We start from the raw sequence: 19,715 nt of genomic DNA on the forward strand, positions 1-19,715 counted from the left end.
ATTCATTTACTGATACACAACTATACAGAAATGCAACTCCAAATTTATGCCAAATCCAGGATGAGCTAACAATTATTGGATATTTAAAGTGTTCTAAAAGTATCACCTTCTTTATTTCATTAATCCTCACATCTACTTTATGCTGTGGGTACAATTATTTATGAGGAAACTGAGGATTGAGCCATTTAAGAGACTTGACTAGGATCATGCAGATTGTAAATAGCTAAGCTACAACATGAGCTATACCTCACTCCAGAGCTCTGATAAACAATAAAAGGTACCAAGAAATAAATCTAGTAAACGATGTGCAAGACCTTTAAAGGGAAAATTATGAAATTTTACTGAAGGACATAAAAGGAAAACTGAATGGGGGAGAGATATACCCTGCTAATCGGTAGGAAGGACTAATATTCTAAAGATGTCAATTATCCCCATGCTAATCCATAAACACAATACAATAATAATTTTTTAAAATCCCAACAGAACTTCAAGTGAACATGATAGGCTGATTCAAAAGTTTCCAGGGAAAATAATTTTGAAGGGCAAGGACAACTTACCTTTCCCAACACCAAGATTTATGATTAAGTTCTAGCATTTTCGATTGTGGTTGTTAGCGTTGTACAAGGTAAATAGGCCACTGGAGAAACCAGACACAGACTCAGATGGACACAGAAACTCCACATATGTGGGGGAGGTGCTGCAAAGAGGAGGGGAGAGGTGGATGACTCAACAAATAGCGCTAGGAAATTGGCTAGATGTTGAGGGGGGGTAAAATTCACATCTTACATAGAAAATAACTGTATAAAGTGAAACTCTACTGCAGAAAACCAAGAAAAAATAAAACTTTAAAACAATTAGAAAAATTAAGAAAAAAATCTTTATGACCATGAAGTGGAAAGTAATTTTTTACATAAAACACACAAAAGCACAAACTGTTAAGGGAGAGATTGATCAAATTGACTACAGTGGAACGCTTTTCTATGATAAAAGATACCATAATGAAAGTTTTTTAAAAAGGCAAGACACGGACTAGAAAAAGATATTGGCCATGCATATAATCAATAAAGAACTATCCTTCAGAATATGTAAAGAATTCCTAAACATTATTTAAAAATGACAAACTGCCCAACAGAAAAATGTACACAGAGAAAACATGCATGGCCAATAATCAAAAGAGACATGTTCAACGTTACTAGAAACCAGAGAAATGCAAATTAAAATAATCATATATCATCTCATGTTCTCTTGCACAGCAGGTGGAAGTATAAATTGTTGCAAACACTTTGAGACCTGGCAACATCCTCCAACGTTGAAGACCCATGTACTCAACGACTCAGCAATTCCACCTGTAGGTATCAACCACAGAGGGGCTGAGACACAAACGCAGAAGGAGATACAGACGGGCTGGTACTTGCATTGTGTGCAGTAGAGAAAATGTAACATCTTCAATACATGGTTATATAAGCTGTATAATTATAAAAGGGGCTGGGCATGGGCGCTCATGCCTGTAATCCCAGCAATTTAGGAGGCCAAAGTGGGCAGATCACTTGAGGTCAAGAGTTCAAGACCAGCCTGGCTAACATAGTGAAACCCCATCTCTACTAAAAATACAAAAATTAGCCAAGTGTAGTGGTGCGTGCCTGTAGTCCCAGCTACTTGGGAGGCTGAGGCAAGAGAATCGCTTGAACCTGGCAGGCAGAGGTTGCAGTAAGCCAAGATCTTACCAATGCACTCCAGCCTGGGCGACAGAGCAAGACCCTGTCTCAAAAAAAAAAAAAATTATAAAAGGGAAAACTACAGAGTGGTTAACATTCATGAATTAAGTCCACAGGTATCAACCTGTGTGAACCTCCTGCACACAATGATGAGACAAAAAGCGATGCATCCGGATAGAATACTGATGACAGACGCAGGTTCAAGGCCAGCACTGTTGCTTTCCAGCGTGTGATCTTGTACAGGTTACCTTGACCTCTTTGTTCCTCAGTTTTCTCACCTGAAAACGGGATAACAACACCTAGGTTGTGGTAAGGAGTGAACGTATCACTGTATGTGAACAACTCAGCATGGTGCTCAAAGTTCCTTTAAGGCAATGGATGTTTTCTATGTTGATTGTGATGGTAAATTTATGAATTTATACAAGTGATAAACTGTGAGAACTTCACATACAACACACACACACACATACACACACAGAGAAACACAAATGAGTGCATATAAAAAACTGCTGTAACCTGAATAAGGTCCGTAGTCTAGTTAATACAATCATGCCAGGGTTGGTTGGACCCCTGATTTTGATATCATATCATCGTTATGTGAGAGATCAGCCTTGGTGAAAGCTGGGTATAGGTTACATGAGACCTCTCTGTGCTATTTTTCAACTTCCTGTGAATCTACAGTTATTTCAGAATTACAAGTTATTTCAAGATAAGGGAAAAGAAGTGAAGAATCTGAATTGAATAAATACATTTTATTAAATCTCCTTGGTGGGTATTTGTGTTTGCAGTAGTAATGATAATTAAAAACAACTACTCATAGGTTTCCCTATGCCAGGGGATTTATCTGTATTAACAGCTCTCAGGCAGGTGCTATAATTATTCCGTTTACAGATGATGAACGTAATGCACAGAGAGGTTAAGTAACATGCCCAAGATCGCACAGCTTCTACAATAGGGTGCTAGATTCCAGCCCAGGCTGCCTAGCCCCTGAGTCAAGGCTCTTAATGACTTGTTACATTATAGCACCTCTCTATTCTCTATCATTCTCTGTAATTTACTTTATTTTAAAAATATTCATTTGTTAAAAAAATGAAATAAATAGTGGAAAATATTGTTAAAAGCAGAAATAATAAAACTCGCCTTGTGGAGGGTTTGTAAGAATTCAGTGACACAGTCATAGATGTATCAGGTCTGAGGGGTCTCGGCGCCAGCTCCTGGCCGCTCTCCCCGTGGCTGCCCATGCACTCCGCTCTGCAAGGCCACACTGTGCCCGCCACTCTACCGTCTACACAGCCACACGCTATGGTGTACAAAACCTTCTGGAATCCATGTCATCCCATTTGTAGCTGAGAGAGTCCTGCATTCATCCTGCTTTATGGATAAGGGGACTGAGGCCTGGAGCAGACACAGGGAACAGGAGCTGAAAACCAGGTCTGCGTGAGGGCAGAGCCTCTTAGCCACTGGCCGCAGCATCTCTCAGGGATACTGTGATGTGCCACCCGGACGCTCGGTCCAGGAAGGAACTCGCTGCCCCAGTGGACAGGGTTGACTGTCACCACACAGCCTTTAACTGTCTCCACTTTAGGGGCTGCCCCAGTGGCAAACAGCACTTCTACCACTGCCACACCCTCCCAGAGTACCCCGTGCTACGATTGACTGACAGAGGTGGGGTATGCGTGCCAGTTGGTCAGGCCCCAGGCAGGCCTCTCCAGCAGCCTGTTTGCTCTGTGGCTCCCTGTGGGATCAGTGGTCTCCATCTGGCCTGCCCAGGCCTGCTTCCTTCCCTGCCTTCCACAGGTGTGGACCCCAGGAGCACATCCTAATACACATTCTTCATTCCCTGCTCTCCAGGGAAGCTGCACCAAGAGGGATCCCAGGAGACCAAGGCTGGTGCTGAAGGGTTTCCTGGAGAGACGTGATGAGCCCAGGTGAGGCATGGAGCCCCTCCTGAGCAGCCCCTCCTGAGCAGGAGTGGAGTCGCCTGGCTTGTGAGAGCTCGTGGTCAGGAAACTGGGAAGTCAAACCACAGAGGGCTAGTCAGGGCCCCAGGGCTGCCCCAGAGAGAGCTGCCGGTGGGCAGCATCCTTCCGAGGCTCAGCGCCTGTGGGCGGGTCAAGGCAGTGCTTCCCAGTTTGTCTCTTATTTTTAGCAAAGTTGCCTCTGCTACAAAATCCGTTATTTGAAGCATTTTCACTGCTCTACGCCCTCTGGTTCTGCACTGCAGAATTTTGTAAACAGGGTTGACTCTAGTTTTCTATGTTTTTAACTTCTTTCTCCTTCTCACCTCATCTGACTTTATTTTGATCTTAGGACACATGAAGAGAACCCTGGCTCTCATTATCTCCCTGTTTGAAATCAATCTATTGCAGCCTTCTCAGTCTCCCGTGTACCATGCCACATCACCTGTGTGGCTGCCCCCTACCCCTCTGGGGTCATTTGTACCCTGTGTGTGGGAGGCATTTACTAACTGTTTATTTGGAGGAATAAGTGAATGAATGAATGAATGAATGAATGTTGGTTATCTCCAACCCTTAGCACAGTGCCTATGGTGACTTATGATAATTACATTATTATTAAATGAGCAAATAGATGTGGGAAGATTAGCAGAACCCAGTCACTCACCATTCACCATGAATCAGGCCTGAAGTTTAACTTTCCTGCATCTGTGAACAGCGTTTCACTGAACCATGTGAAAGTGTCAGCAAGATTGTGAAGAGCGTCTGTCGTATTCATATTCATAAATTCAGAAACTCATTGGCCTGGAGGAGACTTCAGTGATGATAGAAACCGGGTGAGGGCCTACGTGGTATGAGAGGAAGGTGAAGGTCAAGAAGCAGCAAATACATGATCAAGTGTTTCTACGTGTTGACCCAACGGCCCTAGGAGATGGATGCTGTCACCATCCCCGTTTTCCAAAGGAGGAAATTGAGCTCTGTAATTGGGATTGCTCCCAGTTTTCTCCCTTCCTCATGTTTGTCACTCTTTCCTCTGATGGTGAGAACCGTATCTCCTGTTATCCTTAATATGTTTCCTCGTGTGATCAGAGAGATGAAATCTTTTGCCTGCAGTCACTCAGACACGTGGTGGAGCAGGTGGGTACTTCACCTGGAGGGTTTGGTTTGATAAGTCCCCCTCCAAGAAATGCTCCTATGGGCACGGGCATGGTTCCCAGGACATCACTTCATTAAACTGAATAGCACGTGTTCCATGGACTGTTCTTGTGCTGGTTAATTATTGGTATCAACTTGATTGGGCTAAGGGATGCCCACATAGCTGGTAAAATATTATGTCTGGGTGAGCCTGTGAGGGTGTTTCTGGACAAGATTAGCATTTGAATCCGTAGACCGAAAAAAGAAGATCTGCCCTCATCAACGTAGACAAGGTGTCATCTAATCAGTCCATCAAAGACCTGAATAGCACAGCCCATCAGAGGAAGGGCAAATTCATTCTATCTGCTGGAACCAGGACATCCGTCTTCTCCTGCTCTCGGATTTTGGTGCTCCTGGTTCTTGGGCCTTTGGACTTCTGGACTTATGCCATCAGCCCCCCTGTTTCTCAGGCCTTTCAACTCAGACTGAATTACACTACAGGCTCTCCTGGTTCTCCAGCTTGCAGATGACTGACTGTGAGACTTCTCAGTCTGCAGAACTACGTGAGCCATTCTCTAAGTAAATAAAATGCTTTCTGCTCAGTCAGAGGGTCTCAAGACCCCAAGCAGCTCATCTCTGTCTGGGTCGGGCTGAAGACTCTTCTCTAGCTGAGTCTGTAGCCTGTGCCTCATGGTGTCGTGGGGTCCCTCAGCAGACAGGGACCTGGCCGAGCAGTCCTACAGCACAAGTACAAAGCCCTTGTTTAACTCCAGAGGCTGTGGCTCAGTACCAGAACTCACCCCTTTCTGCCTGATGAAGTTTGAAACACCACTGAGAATAAAGGGGAGGGTGGAGGTGCATTTGTTCGCCTGAAGAGGCATGTTTTGCAGGCAGTCCAAGGGGACAGGAGGGCTGCAGGGGCTGGTAAGGAAAAGCAGTCAAGGCTGCCATGGGGGTGGGAAGCAGGTGTGAGGAGAACATGAGGGCCAAGCCCCCTGTAGGGGGGCTCCTGGAGCACATTATAGTACAGGAGGGCTGGTGTCAGACTTGCCTTCTCACCTCATCTGATTTTATTTTGGAGATCTGAGGACACATAGAACACAAGGTCACTGAGATTTCTCCGTCCTACAGTTTCTACAGAGGGTATCATGTGCCATCAGTTTCTAGAGAGTATCATGTGTTATTCGCTTTTACAGGTTTTTTCCCCTGAAATGTCAAGTAGATCCCTAGAAGCACTGAATGGAGAGAAAGGGGATTTGAGGGTCATTCTGTCCCATTTAACAGTCGCCTGGAATGAATGAGAGCAACCAGATCCACTTGGAATCCATCGCCTCCTCTTCCTTCTCCCTCCTGGTTTTGCCTGTCTGCTCCCAGTTCCCACATTAACCTGGTCCAAGGCGAGTGGTCAGTTGAAAGGCTTCCATCGTCTGGAAAAATAAAGAAAATAGAAGCCCTTCAAGCCTAGCTCTGCCACACTAGTGGCAGCTGCCTTGTGCCAACACCTTGGAAATCCTCTGGGCTTCCCAGGCCACAGGCTCTTTGGTGCCACCTGAAATGACACCAGGCTCTGAGTGGGTCAGCAGGGGAAGGTTAAATCGGGGACAGGAAATGTGTTGGCTTCCAAGCAGAGCAGCCATGACTCTTAACTATTCAAATGCACAGTTCATCCCTGGAAGGGCCGGTCAGGGCTGCTAGGGGACACCAGCCTCCTGGGATCTGTGGCCTGGGCTTTAGGCTTCTATACCATTTAGAGATCAAAGATGATCAAAACCCAACAATTTCATATTGTTCAGTCTAATGCTCAATCGTTCAATCAATCCAATTGCCTTATATCAACACCACAAGAACCCTGTGAGGCAGACATTAAGGTCCTTATTTTATGAAAAACAAAGGCCCAGAGAGTCTAAGCCACTTGCCCAAAGTCACACAGAAAGTGACAGAGTCAGAGTCTGGATGTGCACAGGTCAGAGTGAATGCCGACTGAATGCTGTGCCCATCGTCTCTCAAATTGTCTCAAATCTGCTCTGTGCTTTGTTCCAGCCACTCCCTAATGCAGCCACGTTTATTCTCCCCTGCTTTCCTTTGCTCATATCATGACTTCCTCCTGAACTCCTTTTCCCTTCCCTTCATTTATCCTACAGATATTTATTGACAAACTACTATGTGTCAGATTTGCAGTTAGGAGCTGCAAATATGATCCTCGAATCAGACACTAAAGAGTTTAGCAACCAGTGTACACGAAGGATATTTCTGTGACTCCAACTGTATTCTGTTCGGCAAAATAAAATTTAAAAAAAGAAAAATATCGTGATATAAGGAGTGCAGACAATTTTGCCCAAGGCTCTTTGCCAGTCTTAGTGGTATGTGCTGACTTCACAGCCTGCCCCCATGTTAGACTCGACTCTAAGCCCTGGCTTGGTGGAAAAGCAGAGGCTGGGAGCCTGGGGGTGTAGAGTCAGTCTGGAGAGGAGGAACAGTATGAGCATTGTAAAAGTCTCCATGGGGATGGAGCATCAAGTATGGGGTGAGAAGAGGGGAGGAGAGGGGCAGGAGATAAGGTGAGGGAGTTGGCAGGAACATGCAATGAAGGCCCTTGAATATCATGCTAAGGAGGACAAAAGTTATCCTGGAAGCCAGAGGTTTTCACTGATATGCCTCCCTTGAGGGACCTCAGGGGTCAGAGGTGGCCCTGTGAGGAGAGAGCAGAGACAGACAGCCTCAGTCTCTCTTTCGCTCTAAGAAGTTCCACTGCTATCAGCTTTAGATTTGGTGGGGGTTCCATGTCAGAATCAATTTGGAAAAAAAAAGTGTTTGACTCTTAATGATAATAGTATTCAAAGGTGCATTAAAAAATTAGAAAACTGCATCAATTATATTTTTGCTTCTGGCCATGATGAACTAACAGGAATGGAGTTTACTCTCCTACCTCAAGTAACCAGAAAAGTGGACGAAACACATTAAACAACTGTGTCGGACATTCAACAGCTGGCCACACAGGCATGTAAGCAGAGAGAGAAAGACAGCAAGTGAGCCATGCCCTTCAGCTGTCGCAGATCGCTCTCCGGAAGTGGCTTCCAGACTGCAAAGAAAGGAGGGAAAACTGCAACAGAGCCTGGTAGCTTTGATGATCTGAGGAGAAAGAGAACAGAGTTTGAGAAGGCCAAGGTGGCTAGAATTTGAAAGACAGAATATTGAAGAGGGTGCTGCACAGAAAGGGACCTCCAAAGACTTGAGAGGGGTCCCCTCAAGAATCCGTCTAAGTAATGATTTACACATATGTGAAAAAAGTATCTGAGGCCAGGGGAAACAAAAACACCAGAATAGGGGATACAGAGGTATTCTCAAAGCTCACACAAGGTTGGGGCCTAGGGGGTGGCTTTTGTTCCCACCGGGAACAGTGGAAAGACTTCATGGCAAACAGGGTATCAGGTAGACTCCTCAGAAGGCTACTGGATTAGAAGTGGGCATTAATTAACCCTAAATAAACTCTGCTCTATGTCTTCTCTAATAAACTTAAAAGAAAGCTTCAAAATTATCCAACTGACTCAAAACAACTGCTTCCCAGCACAAAATCCAGCACTATTTAAAGAAATAGAACAAAATTAATAACCAGCAACATAAAATCACAACGTCCAGCATCTAATAAAAAATCACTAGGTGGAAAGAAGCAAGAAAGTAGGATCTATGATCAGAAGGAAAAACATATTAATATAAAGGAAACTGAAAATGGTGGCTATGTTGGAACTACTAAGAATAATAAAATAGCTATTATAAATACACTGATGTTTAAGAAGACAAAAGAAAATTAACAGGCTGAGTTTTAATAACCCAAATGGAATATCCATAGCAGAAAAATACAATTTCTGAATTGAAAAAAATTACACGTGATGGGATTAACATGCAGATTCTGTTCTGCAACAGAAAAGGTCAGTGAAATTGAATACATAGCAAAAGAAACTATCCAAAATAGAGCAAAGGAGGGAAACACCTGAAGAATGAAGAAAACATCAGTAACCCATGGAACAATATCCAATGTCCTAACATACTTAACAACTGAAGCTCCAGAGGAGAGGATATGGGAGAAGAATGGGGGCAGAAAAACTATTTTATGAAATAATGGCCACAGTTTTTCTAAATTTGAAAAGAATTATAAGCCTGAACATCCAAAATCTTAACAAAACCAAAGCAAAAGAAATATAAAGTAAATCACACTAAAGCACATCACAGTCAAATTCAGAAAGCCAGCAATAAAGAGAAAAATCTCAAAAGGAGCCAGAAAAAGAAAGAGAGATATAATGGACAAGGAAACAAAGATAAGAAGATGGAAGATGTCATGTTAGAAACCATACAAGGCATAAAACAATGGAGCAACATCTTTAAAGCAGCAAAAGAAGAGATTTAAGATAGGAGCATAGAATTCTATACCCAGTGGAAATGTCACTTAAACATGCAAGAAATGAAGACAACTTCAGAAATAGATGAAAGAATTCAGCATCAGCAGAACAGCCTCTCAAAAAAACGTCAATGAAAGTCTTTTCGGTACAAGGAAAATTATAAAAATAGAAATTAGGATCTACATAAAGAAATGATAGAAGCTAGAACAATAAAGATGATTTTTTGTGTCTCTCATATTTTACCCTTTAAGATAATTGACTGCTTAAATAAAGTACTAACAACAACGATGTATTGTGGGGTTTGTAATATATCTAAAAATAAAATGTAAGAAATCATAGCACAAAGGATGGAGGAAGTGAAAATTTACTGTTATAAAGCTCTCATACTAGTATTACATTATTTGCAGGTATACTGACAGATTAAAGATGTATATTCTAAATGCTTGAGCAACTGGTAAGAATACAAATAAGTAAAAAAAAGAGATATTACCAATAAACCAATAGTGGAGATTAAAATGAACTTATTAAAAATTTGATTAATTCAGGAGAAGGCAGGACAAGTGGGATAAAGGTGCAATGAACAAAAAGAACAAACAGAAACAAATAGCAATACAATATATTTAAATTTAACCTTATCTACTATCATCTTACATGAAATGATCCAAAAATTCAACTGAAAAGTCTAAGATTGTCAAAAAACCATTAATAAATGCATTAAAATCATAATATATATTATATCTATCTATCATAAAATCTATCTAGAGATAAATTTCACAAAATATGTGAAAACTAAAAAACAAATTGCTGACAAAAATTAAAGAGGATTGAGATATGTCAGAACTGAAGACTCAATGTTGTGAACATGTAAATTCTCTGAAAAGTGATCTATGGGTATAACATGATCACAGACAAAATCTCACCTGACTTTTTGTTGAAATGGACAAGCTGATTGCAAAATATATGTGGAAACACAATGGATCTGGAATATCCAAAACTGTTTGAAAAAGTAGAAGAGTTGATTTGTATTAGCTGCTTTCAAGTAAATTATAAAGCCATCATAATCAAAAGAGTGTGGAATTGGTATAAGGACAGACATATAGAACAATGGAACAGAATAGAGAATAGGAAAAAAGGTCCACAAATATAAGTTGATTTTCTACAAAAATGGAAAGTTAATTCCATGGGGAAAGGATTGTCTGTCTTCTCAGCAAACTACTGAGAAGTGGGGAAAACACACAACCATTCTCAACCTCGATCTCACACCTCTTAGAAATTTAACTTGAAATAAATAGTAAATTTAAAGTTAAGTGCTAAAACTAAAACTTTTAGAAGAAAACATGGAGAAAAATTTTGTGACTTCGATTTAGGCAAAAAAGCACGGAAAGTATGAATTGTTAAAAGAAAAAAATGATACACTAGACTTCATCAAAATAAAAAAAAAATGTAGATGGTCCTCTGCTGCTTCAGCGCCTGGCTGTGCTCACTCCTGTTCACACCAGTGGGCTGGGGAAGGCTGGTCCTACCTGAAGGCTCTGCATGAAGACCTTCCGGGTATCACCTGGGTCTTCTTGGAAGATGTGGTTTGAGACACAGAGATCTCCATGGAGCACACCCAGTGCAAGACGGTCTCTGGCACAACAGACGCACAGCATTGCATGCTGAGATGCTGGTGCACACATTTGCTACTAGCATCCCAGGAAAGGTCCTTATCTAGGGCACCGTTTGTTCCACTGAGAAGAGCTTTGCATCTCAGTGGGAGAGGGTGTGCCCAACACTGTAGGCCCCTAGCTGTGAGTTCTGTGCTTACACTTGCAGAAAGACAGTTTTTCTTCTAAATTGTGACCATAGGCCTTGAGGACTTTTGCATATCTAGGAGGTTTATTCTACTGGATGGGTCACCTTCAGTTCAGAACCACAAATGGTGTAACTTGACGTAGAGTGGCATTCTCTGTGCTCTTTATACTTGTTCTTTGGCATAAGCTGGAGTGGATTTCCTCCTCTAGGGTTTATCACAGAAGGACCAGCCCCACCTATGGTCTGCTCCTGTCCTTGGCCGGTCTGCTGGCCGGAAGGGGCATAGACAGTGCCAGTGCTCAGGCCATTCCCAGGTCATACTGACCAAGCCATTCTTGGACCCGCCAATTAATTTAGGATTTTTACACTTCTAATAAAGTCCATAGGTGTGGAAAGGAGGTTTCAAGTAAAAGTTAAACCACCAAAGGGAAAACAGCCTTTCCAATGTGTTGTTACAGAAGCTGGGAGGTTGAGACATGGGCACCTTGGATGGGGTTGGCCTAAGTCACCTGAGGCCACCCACGATGGAGAGGAGACAATCTCCCAGGCCACGCTGCTGCCCCTGAGATGGGAGCTGCTGCCACATTCCAGGGCTAGTGAAGCCTATGAAAAGCCAAACTGATCCTGAAGAGTGAAAGTCAAACCCAAAGGCTCTACTTAGAGCTCTCTGCACATTTACAATTCTTAAAATGTATTGATATAAGCAGGCCAATTTTTTAAGGTAATAAAGGTTCTATTTGGTATGTAGAAAAGGTTTTTAAATTAAAAACGTGTGCTATTCAAAAGAAACATTTAAAGAAAGTGAAAAGGCAAGTGGCAGTTTATTTGCAAAGCATAGACCTAATAAATTACTTGCATCTGGATATGTAAAGAGCATTAGTAAGTGAACAACAAAATAAGTGGTAGAAGATTTGAATTAATAATTCACCAAGGAAAATATATAATGACAAATAAGTATTCAGAAGATATCTAACATCATTAATCATCAGGGAAATGTAAATGATAGCCACAGTGAGATAGTGCCATATACCCACTAGAATGGCTAAAATTAATACCTGACAATAACAAATGTTGACTGTAATTCTTATACATTGTGGTATAAATGCAAAATGGAACAGAATCTTTAGAAATCATTTGGCAATTTCTTAAAGTCAAACATGCATCTATCCATTCCACTGCAAGGTATTTACTAAAAGAAAAGAATACACATGTCCACATAAAGACTTGTATGTGAGCAATTGTAGCCCCTTCATTCATCATAGCCAAAAACTGGCAAAAGTGCCCATCAACTGGTGAATAAACAAAACAAGGTAAATCCATACAATGGAATACTACTCAGTAATAAGATGTATAAACAACTGATATGCACAACATCATGGGTGAATCTCAAAGACATTGTCTTGAATTTTTTTTTAAAAAAAGCAGATACAAAAGACTGAATACTGTATGATTTCATTTATATGAAATTTTAGAAGAGGCAAAACCATAATGGCAGAGGGCAGAATAGGTGGCAAAGGCTATGGCTTGTGGAAGTCATTACTGAAAAGAAACAAGCAAATATTTGGGGGTTAATGGAAATGTTCACATTGTGATTGTGGAGGTGGTTAAAAACCTATATACATATGTCAAAACTCATCAAATTATACACTTAAAGTTGCTACATTTTATTACATCTACATTATGTCAATAAAACTGACTTTGAAAAACACATACCTAAAGTGGCTTCCAACGTGAGTCCAGACTCTTGGGCGTATAAAATGCAGTCTGGGGAAACCTGTTGTATTTCCCCAACATTTTATGTCCAGAGAAACAGCTCCCAGTAAGGAGCAGATGAGAGGGAGCTTCAGCTTCTCTCTTTTTGCTAGTGACTAGCTGGGGGTCATTGAAGTTAATTGTTTCTCTCTGTGTCTCAAAGGCCTACTTGAAAGATGAGGCGATTGGACCCTTGGAGGCTGTTGACCCTGCCCTGCCTGGAGAATACATGCCACCCACCCTCCCCCCTCCAGTTTCCCTCCTTCCTCTTTCCTGGTAATCTCCGCTGCCTGGGCTCTGTGTGCTAGTTCTGACCACCCCACCCAGGAATGGTCTGATGCTATTTAAGGCTGGTGCTTCCATTTCCTAGGACCCCTGCCCTCTGGGAACCCTGCACTCATTCTGTCTCCTTAGCCATGTAAGCAGTGCTGCATGCCAGGGACAGCAACACTAAATCATCCTCCTGCTAACTCTACCTCATGCAAATAGGTGTTAACTCACTGCAAGAAGCCAAGAGCCCTTGTAACAGGGAACTTGCACATAATTGGAAATAGCTTTAACACCCTATTGATGGCTTTTCCTCCTATTGCTCTGTGACAAAATGAAACAGTAAAAAATGTCGATTTTTCTCTGGAAGGGAAAGGGGAAGAAGGCTGGATCTTAAAATGAAATTATGGTTATTGTCCTCCTGGTAGCATTTCTTCTGTGCCACCATGACAGATGGCTCTTTAAGTGACAACAGATTTGTATTTCATTAGGACACTTTAGTTGAAAGATCGATGATGCTTCTTGGAACCTCTCTGCTTGTCCATGGGGGCAGATGAACAGGGCTAGACGCTTGCAAAGATCCAGCTAAAATTAGGCAGCTGCCGACAGACGCCGGATTCGCAATCATAGTGCATTGATTTCCAAAGTGATGCCAAAACCCAGTGAGTTTTATTGGCCTGCTTGTTCCGTCTTCATGGAGAAGGGCCTCTCTAATGAAGTGGTTCTTCCTCTGGGGGAATGGAGCTCTTTAAAGGCAGAATTAATTTTTGGCGGAGGTAGGGAGTCAGAGGCATCCCGGACTCTTTGTACATCCTTAACTGGTAGCTCACTTGCCAGGCCTGTGTCATCACTGTTATTGCCAGTTGCCCTTTGTGAAGCACCCACTGCTCTCCAGGTACTGGTGAGCACCCCAGTCACTGGAGACAAGCACAGGCTCCCGAAAGGCAATTCTAGATCAGAGGAAAGTGGATGGGATGGTGTGGGCCAGCAGGCTGAGCATGGACTCTTGCCAAGCAGTGGAAGCCTGGGGGTTTCGAGCAGGGATTCGGGAGCCCAGGTGCTTGAGTTTGAATGCTGGCAAATCCTTCTACCACTGGGGGATGGGGTAAGGTGTTCTATCTCTCTGTGCCTCAGCTTTGTCAGTATAAAATGACCATTCAGCATTAGTGAATACAGGTATTTAAAACAGGAGAGGTCCTCACTTAATGTTAGCTGCTGTGTGTCATCAGTTAGTTCTGTGCTCAAATTGAGACACTGCTGCTTCCTGGCTGTGCATTCTTGAGTAAGTGACTCAAACCCCCTTGCTGCAGGGAGTGGGTGACATCTTGTGTGTGAAAGGCCCCTCCTGGGGCTCACTCCAGTTATAGAGCTGGCTACAAGTCATGAAGGTCCACCCTGAGAGAAAAGCCCACCACCCTTCCAGGGCCGCAGAAGTGGGCACAGACAGGCATTTATTTGCAGGAGACATGGTTGATTATCCCAGAAAGGACGTGGGAGAAGGAAATAAAAAAGCATCATAGCCTTCCTACCCAACTTTGTAAACATCATTGATTTGAGGCAGGAGTCACTTCAGGGCTGCAGACAGATTGATTGATTGGGCCTTTTAATGTGATCTGTGCTGCAGACACAGTTGGTTCTAAAACTGCCCTCCTGGCAGGCCTGAGTTTGAAAAGCATAGCTGGTAAGGAAGAGGCACAGTGATGAAGCTGCAGCATGAAGACTTTAGGTTAGACACAAGGAAGGACATCCTTTCTGCTGCAATTTATCAGTTGCTATAGTATTTAAGGTTGCAAAAATCTAGAAATAGTTCTTGTTCTAATAATAACTAGCATTTACTGAATGCACGTGATACACTAGGCCCGGTTCTAAGCACTTTCACACATGGGTTCCTGTAAGTCTCGAAATAGCCCAGTGAGATAAAGGCTATTATTCTCATTCTCATTTTACAGATGAGAAAACTGAGGTTCAGAGGAGGAGACTGAGTAACTGGCTCAAGGTCACAGCTAATAACTGATAGAGTGAAGATTCAAACCAAGACCTAGTTCCAGAGTCTGTTCTCCAAACCATCCTGGTGCTTTCCCTCTCTTATTCATTCATTCATTCTTCAACCATTACAGATTCCTGCCTGGTGCCAGGCCTTAGGCCAGACTCTCAGTTCATAGGGAGGAGAGAGGCCCAGGCCCTGCCATGGGCTGCTGGGTAAGGATGTCACCTGGGCTGGGGCGTTGCACTCACCATTTGACACCTGCCTGGTGTTTATTCTCCTCCTTTCTCTCCCTTTGGCCTGTGCTCCTGAGCTGGCTCAGAAAGCTCCCTGCCCCACCCCCTTCCAAAGTTACAAAATAAATCCTGCTGCATACATTGGAGGCTCTTAACGAGTCCTGCAGAGGCTGGGGTACAGTGCATGTTCCTGCTACAGCCACATCTTCAAGGGGAAAGCAACATCGCCATCTCACCTACGTCTCAGGGAGGTTTTGAGGATTCTCCCAAGGCATGTGTGAACTGCCAAGGGCAGCATGAGCATCCAGTGCTCTGGAGCCTCCTGAGTACAGGCTTGGAATATTTTTCCTATTCTTTCCTGTTCTTAGGGCCACTCCCAATGGAGGCTGGATCTATGGAGAATCCTTTTGGTGCTTCTGATATCTAGCTGGTCCCTGTGGCTCTGGGAAGTGTCTCCTGGCATGGTGGGGTGTCAACTCTCCAACCTGTCACACAGGAGGAGTGGCACCTCATCAGCCAGTTCTCTAAGTCAGGAACATCCCAGCTTGGCAAGATCATGCACTTCAAATACAATAGTTGTTGCAACATTTGTCAGCCCTGCCCCACTGGCTAGGTGCTCTGGAAGACCCTAACACTTGGATCTACTGTCTGAGTCTGAAATGAGGCTGTGGTTCATCAGGCAGATCAGAATTTTCCTGTAGATGAGGAGGGAAGAAATGGGGGACAATGATTAAGACCAAGCATTCTGTATCCTAATTTTAGGTCCAAATCTTGAGACATACATCTTAACCATCTTTGTGCCTCGTATGATAGATTCAATAATGGCCTCCCAAAGAGGCTCACATCCTACTCCCTGGAACTTCTCAATATGTTATCTTACGTGGCAAAAGGAACTTTGCAGATGTGACTAAGTCAAGGTTCTTGAGATAGGAGATTATTCTGGATTATCTGAGAAGGCTCAATGTAATCACAAGATGCCTTACAAGAGGGAGGCAGGAGGGCCAGAGGAGACAATGGAAGGAGATGTAGAAAATGTCAACTTAAATAGCAAATAGACAGAGGATCTCTAAAAGAAAATAATATTTACTCAGGAATAGGGCATTGCAATTGAAATATATTTGCCATAGTAAACAGTTTATGTATTCAGGGAGGTAAAGGAAGACAAATATTTTTAAAGGGAAAAGTCTTTAGGTTTTTGGATCTGCCAGGAAGTGACAAGTTTTTACACTCACTATAAGACTAGGAACCCTTGAAGCCAGGTATTTTTTTTTTTTTTTTTTTTTTGAGACGGAGCCCCGTCGCTCTATCGCCCAGGCTGGAGCGCAGTGGCGTGATCTCGGCTCACTGCAAGCTCCGCCTCCTGGGTTCACGCCATTCTCCTGCCTCAGTCTCCCAAGCAGCTGGGACTACAGGCACCCGCCACGACGCCCAGCTAATTTTTTGTATTTTTAGTAGAGATGGAGTTTCACCATGTCAGCCAGGATGGTCTCGATCTCCTGACCTCGTGATCCGCCCGTCCTGGCTTGGCCTCCCAAAGTGCTGGGATTACAGGCGTGAGCCGCCGCGCCCAGCCTGAAGCCAGGTATTCTACACATATTCCCAAATGTGATATTCCAGTCAAAGCCTTAAAATAATAAAGCAAATGTTTCCAATTGTATATTGTTATAAAAAGAGAGTTTTTTTAGACTTATGGGAAAAACATATTGCTATAAGAATACTCATCAATAGTTTCCAAATTTTGATGAACTCAAGTAGATAGAAAAAGCAAATGCTTTCATTTTTGTTCACAAAAGTATGCTTTTTACCAAGTTGTTGTAAATTGTCGTTTCAGAGAGAAAATTTTCATAAAAGTGGAAAATAAAACATTTAAGTAAATAACGAACAATGTTTTAAATAAAAGTCATAAAAACATATTTATCGGTTGCTTAATCTCTTGTAATTAACTTTTGCTCAGCTTGATCTTGATTAGTCATTTCATGAACCCATAAGTTACTTCATTAGAGTTTTGAAAAAATCTTATTTAGTCCATTAATCTTAAAGTTATCAAAAAACTATATTTAAGAGTACTTGCTAGAGGCTTTTCCACGAAAAGCAATTTTGGATAATAGCTGATTGCAAGTACTTTTCAAGAAAAATCAAAACAATAACTATGGATGACAAAAACTTAGGATGCCCATGATTAAGTTATGATGAAAGCTCATTACAGTCAGCAATTGACAAAGAAATGTAGTTACTTTTGTGGCATACAACATAATACCCAGAATTATAACCAATGATATATTTCTAAGAGTTTTAAACAATTTTGGAACATTCATATCAAAAACACACCCATAAATGTAACTGAAAGAAGATCTAGAGTCACTTATTTGACAAGTTTCCCATACAATTTACCAAATAATCCTAAAAATTCAATACCTCTAAAAGATAAGAGAGGCATTCTTTGAGGCACTTTAGGAGGCCAGCTAGAAAATCCAAAAGTTAATTCTAGGTCAAAAAATCTTAATTTAGAATTTTGATCTTGGGGAAGCCTACCAAAGGTGTCAAAAGATACAAAACACTTGATAAAAATAGGATCACAAGTCACTGTGAAATAATAATCATTCATTAAACCAGAGTGTTAATCAAAAAGCTTTAGAATCTATTCAGGAAGTTGCATAGACTTAAAAAACCTTAACACTTTCAAACCTCAGTTATATATTGATAAAACACAAATTCCTTTTATCTTAGGGGCAAGTTATTTAAAAGAGTTTAAAAAGACCTCTTCCAGTGTGATCGTTTCTCCTTATGGAAAGCCCATTTAAATATCCTGGATGTTGAATCTGATTTTTTTTTAAGTACTTGAATTTAATCAGACACATGAAGAATGTGTGCCCAAGGTTATAAGTGTACACAGTACTATAAAGGAATGTAAACAAGAAAACTACTCACCCAAGCAGGGGAATACATGGCTCTTAGTAAAGGTAAGAGCATGTGAAGTTTCCTGGTTACATGGAAAAATTCAGACATATTAAAAAAAAACCAAGAGTACAGAATCAAGTTATATCAGAGGAAAACATTGCTTTTCTAGGTGTTTCAAGACACAAAGTTTCAGGGTCAAGTCATAACAGCAAAGTTGGAACCAGAGAAAAAAGTTACAGTAGCTGATTAAAAAGTTGGAGAAAGTTATCACCCTAAACCGTCTTAAGGGAGAAAGAGCTGATGGTAATGATTCGTGACCTACAAATCAGGGGCTATGAGATAGAGCAAAAGTTGAGCTTCTGAGATATGAATCTCAGTAGACTTAAAAGAAAAACTTTATCTCAAGAAATGAAATTACTATTTTGAAAGAAAAGACAGCATTTGTAACCTAAAACTAGAGAAATTATATGGAAACTAAAATAGAAGAAAGCCACAATTTGGAAGTTGAGTGTTAAAGGAATAGATTTCAGAATTAAAAATGTAAAACCTCTTGCAATTTTTGTTAAAAGCAGACAAATATTTCAAGAAAACCTTGTTGTTCTAATACAGGGAGTCAAATTTTTAGGTTTGTATTGGCATATTTTTAATATCAAAGCTCAATCTTTAGAAAGGCTCATAAATAATTTCCCTCTAATTATTGCCAACCTGATTATACGCTAAATTCCTCTTGTAAATTCATCCTTCATGAACCTTATTATAACTTACACAGACAATTGATTACATGCTTAAACTTTCTGCTTTGTCCTATACATCCCCTTTTTAAAATAACCAGTCATTTTACTTTAGGAAAAGAATTTACCACACAATATTCTTTCTTATACAAAATTATTCTCTTTTCTTTTTGACCCTCCTGACCAAAAATACATCTTCATATGCATAACTTTCTTTACCTCTCCCTCCTACTTACTGGTTCCTTTCTATTCTTGTTTCCATTTAATTCCTAAAATCCATATTTTGAAACAAACTAAATAACCCTTGAATTAGACAAAATTATTGTTTTTTCAAAATAAAGAACACATTTTAATGCATTTTTATAATTTTCAAATTAAAAACATCTTTTGATACATTTTGTATACAGAATTACATACATGATTCAGAAATGTAACTCATAGTAACCTTAATTTTCAGTGAAAACCTACAAAGCTAAAGGTTTTGAATTGTCTGTAACAATAACCACTTTATTCTTTAAAAAATGTTTTCCTGTAACATAATTGTAATGTACATTAATAGACCCAAATGTATTTACTTTTGTTATACAATTTGTGAAGCCAAAACAAAGACATATTTATGCTCAGCATTTTATTTCAGTTCTTTTCTTATTTGGAAATGACCCAGACACTTAATGAATATTTATTCTTTAATTTAAAATAAAGTAACTTTAAGGTTTTTAATTACACAAAAATTTCATTTATAAACATCCCATTTACATTTACATAATTTATTTATTTTTAACAGTTACACTTGGAGTATTTATTAAAACTGAGATATTAGACAAAGACAGTCATCATTTCAAGCTATTTCCCTGG

The 19,715-nt window shown here is 41.1% G+C and overlaps 1 long non-coding RNA gene across 1 annotated transcript in view; it reads right to left on the reverse strand.

The window, feature by feature from the left end:
* Window positions 1–4,435: 4,435 nt before the first annotated feature.
* The window catches only part of LOC105378617 (uncharacterized), a 36,983-nt gene continuing 21,703 nt past the window's right edge, over window positions 4,436–19,715 (reverse strand). The window contains exon 3 of the long non-coding RNA XR_001737960.1: window positions 4,436–4,514. This is a non-coding gene — a long non-coding RNA (uncharacterized LOC105378617). The remainder of the gene's footprint in view (window positions 4,515–19,715) is intronic.

The sequence above is a fragment of the Homo sapiens genome, chromosome 1 (genome assembly GCF_000001405.40).
Source record: "Homo sapiens chromosome 1, GRCh38.p14 Primary Assembly".
Lineage (NCBI taxonomy): Eukaryota > Metazoa > Chordata > Mammalia > Primates > Hominidae > Homo > Homo sapiens.